Here is a 2,498-nt window from a genome sequence, read left to right as displayed (position 1 = left end):
GCATTTGGCTGCGTATTTGACATTCTTGAAATTAGAGCAGCTTGCGTGCAATAAGGAAATTTGTCCAGAATGGAATTTGATTTTTAAGCCAATGCATAGAAGAGCAGTTGTGATCTGAGCCTCTGATGGATAGTTCTTTTAGGGTTGCCTCTCGGCTGGCTCTCTCTTTGCACTTCCTGTTCATTCTGGAACTCTTCTCTGGCGCTCAGAAAGAGGGAAGCTTCTTGACCCGGGACTCCAGAAACCACATTTTTCGTGGCAGTCAGAGTTGGAGCCATCTTGATTTCCCCGTCTAGGCCTCTTCTATGCATCTGCCAGCCTCCGACTATGTATGCCAGACTGGGGCAGTTAGAGACCTTGTCTTTGTCACCCAGGACTTAGGACCTTTTTCTGGGATCCGAAACTCCCAGAGCTGGTACTCTGTTCAGACTGGCTTGCTCTCCTTTGTCAGAACCCAAAAGAGCTGTCACATTGGCAGGCAGGCAGACAGCAGCTTTATCTAATCTTCTTCTGGTCTTATATTTGTTTCCTGGGCATGGCATGTAGAGGCCTCCAATTTGGCATCAGTCCAAGGGATAGGGCTGGCCTCTCTATGTCTCAGCTTTCCTTAGTAAACATATGCTGCCAGGCCAAAGGAAGGAAAGAAACATTTTTAGAGCACATGCTCTGTGTCAAGTGCTTTCACAAATGCCTCGTTAAATCCTCACAATACACTGAAGAGGTAGGTCTTGCTTTGTTTTTGCAAGGGGGAAACGGAGGCACAGAGCAGTGAAGTAACTTGCTCCAAGGTCTCAGTGCTAGAAAGTGGGGGAGCTAGAATTGCAGTCTAATTGGATCGATTCTCAAAGCAAGCTTTTCCCAGTTTAACACAGCTTCTCTGCAACAACTGTGGCATTCCTACCAAGTAGCAGTCTGTCTGTCTGGGAGCAGACACTATTAGGCCCTGTCAGTTCTCCATCCCAGGGCTTACCTTTGTGCCCAACTGGGGCCACCACCACCATTCTCACCACACCTGTGAAGGGCCAGCTGATAGTGGCCTTTGCTCCTCTAAATTCTTTTTTGTTTTTCTTTTTGAGTCAGGGTCTCACTCTGTCACCCAGGCTGGAGTGCAGTGGTGTGATCACAGTCCACTGCAGCCTCGACCTTTTGGGCTCAAGTGATCCTCCCACCTCAGCCTCTTTTTTTTTTTTTTGAGATGGAGTCTCGCTCTGTCACCCAGGCTGGAGAGCAGTAGCATGATCTTAGCTCACTGCAACTTCCACCTCCCGGGTTCAAGCGATTCTCATGGCTCAGCCTTCCGAGTAGCTGGGATTACAGGCGTCTGCCACCACACCCGGCTAATTTTTGTATTTTTAGTAAAGAAGGGGTTTCACCGTGTTGGCCAGGCTGGTCCTGAACTTGTGACTTCAAGTGATCTGCCTGCCTCATCCTCCCAAAGTGCTGGGATTACAGGTGTGAGCCACTCCATGTGGCCTCAACTCATCCTCCTGAGTAGCTGAGATTATAGACGCACGCCATCATGCCCTGCTAATTTTTCTATTTTTTTGTAGAGAAGGGGTTTCACCATGTTGCCCAGGCTGGTCTCGAACTCCTGGGCTCCAGCAATCCTCCCACCTCAGCCTGCCAAAGTGGTGTGATTACAGGCGTGAGCCACCGCACTGGTCTGCTCTTCTAAGTTCTAATTGGCCAAAAGTTTGACCCAGCACAGAGGTATAATTTGACAGGCAGGCTGCTGAGACAGGTTTGTAAGTGTCTCGTTTGAGCCACTTCCAACAGAACATGCCCCTGAGGTATGAGGTCCACCACCCCTCCATGCGCCCAGAGCATAGTGTGGTGTGAGAGGGATGATGTCCTGGAGCCTTGAACACAACTCTTCCTTCCCTTGGGGAGGCAGCTAGTTCTGAGAACCTTTCCCTCCTTGGGATGCTTGGTGTTTACCATATCTGACTCATATAGCTGTGTGCCCAGGCTGTTTCATGACAGGATGCCCACCACTCTTGAAAGTTAGCACAGCTCCTTTTGGGGAGGTATTTGTGCTTCCATTATGAAAGAGGGCTTCTGTAGAATGAGCTGGGTTTTGCTCTCCACTGCTACTTCCCTGAGGGACCAAGGTGGTGGGGTAGGGTCTTCTTCAATGATTATAAACCCAGGCTTAAGTCTCTTTCTCTACTACCATTTTTCTTACTGGATGAACCTCTTATGGAAGGAACAATTCTTTTACAGAGGTGAAAGTCTTTGCCCTCCAACTTGGGGTTTGTCCTGGAGTCTACTGGCAAAAAACAACTGCAGCAAACCTTCTGTTTAAAGTGTGTGTGTGGCCAGGTGCAGTGGTTCACACCTGTAATCTCAGCACTTTGGGAGGCCGAGGCGGGAGGATTGCTTGAGCACAGGAGCAGCCTGGGCAACATGAGACCCCGTCTGTATTAAAAAAACAAAACAAAACAAAAGTCAGGCTGGGTGCAGTAGCTCACGCCTGTAATCCCAGCACTTTGAGTGGC

The 2,498-nt window shown here is 49.2% G+C and overlaps 1 annotated feature.

The window, feature by feature from the left end:
* Positions 2,054-2,288: a silencer, noted in NCBI's record as "fragment chrX:69306192-69306426 (GRCh37/hg19 assembly coordinates)". NCBI's record gives its function as "represses an EF-1alpha promoter that drives an FKBP-Casp9 reporter gene in an ReSE screen in K562 erythroleukemia cells {active_cell/tissue: K562}" and the evidence as "EXISTENCE:reporter gene assay evidence [ECO:0000049][PMID:32094911]".

The sequence above is a fragment of the Homo sapiens genome, chromosome X, assembly GCF_000001405.40.
Source record: "Homo sapiens chromosome X, GRCh38.p14 Primary Assembly".
Classification (NCBI taxonomy): domain Eukaryota; kingdom Metazoa; phylum Chordata; class Mammalia; order Primates; family Hominidae; genus Homo; species Homo sapiens.
This window is presented reverse-complemented; position numbering and strand designations above follow the sequence as displayed.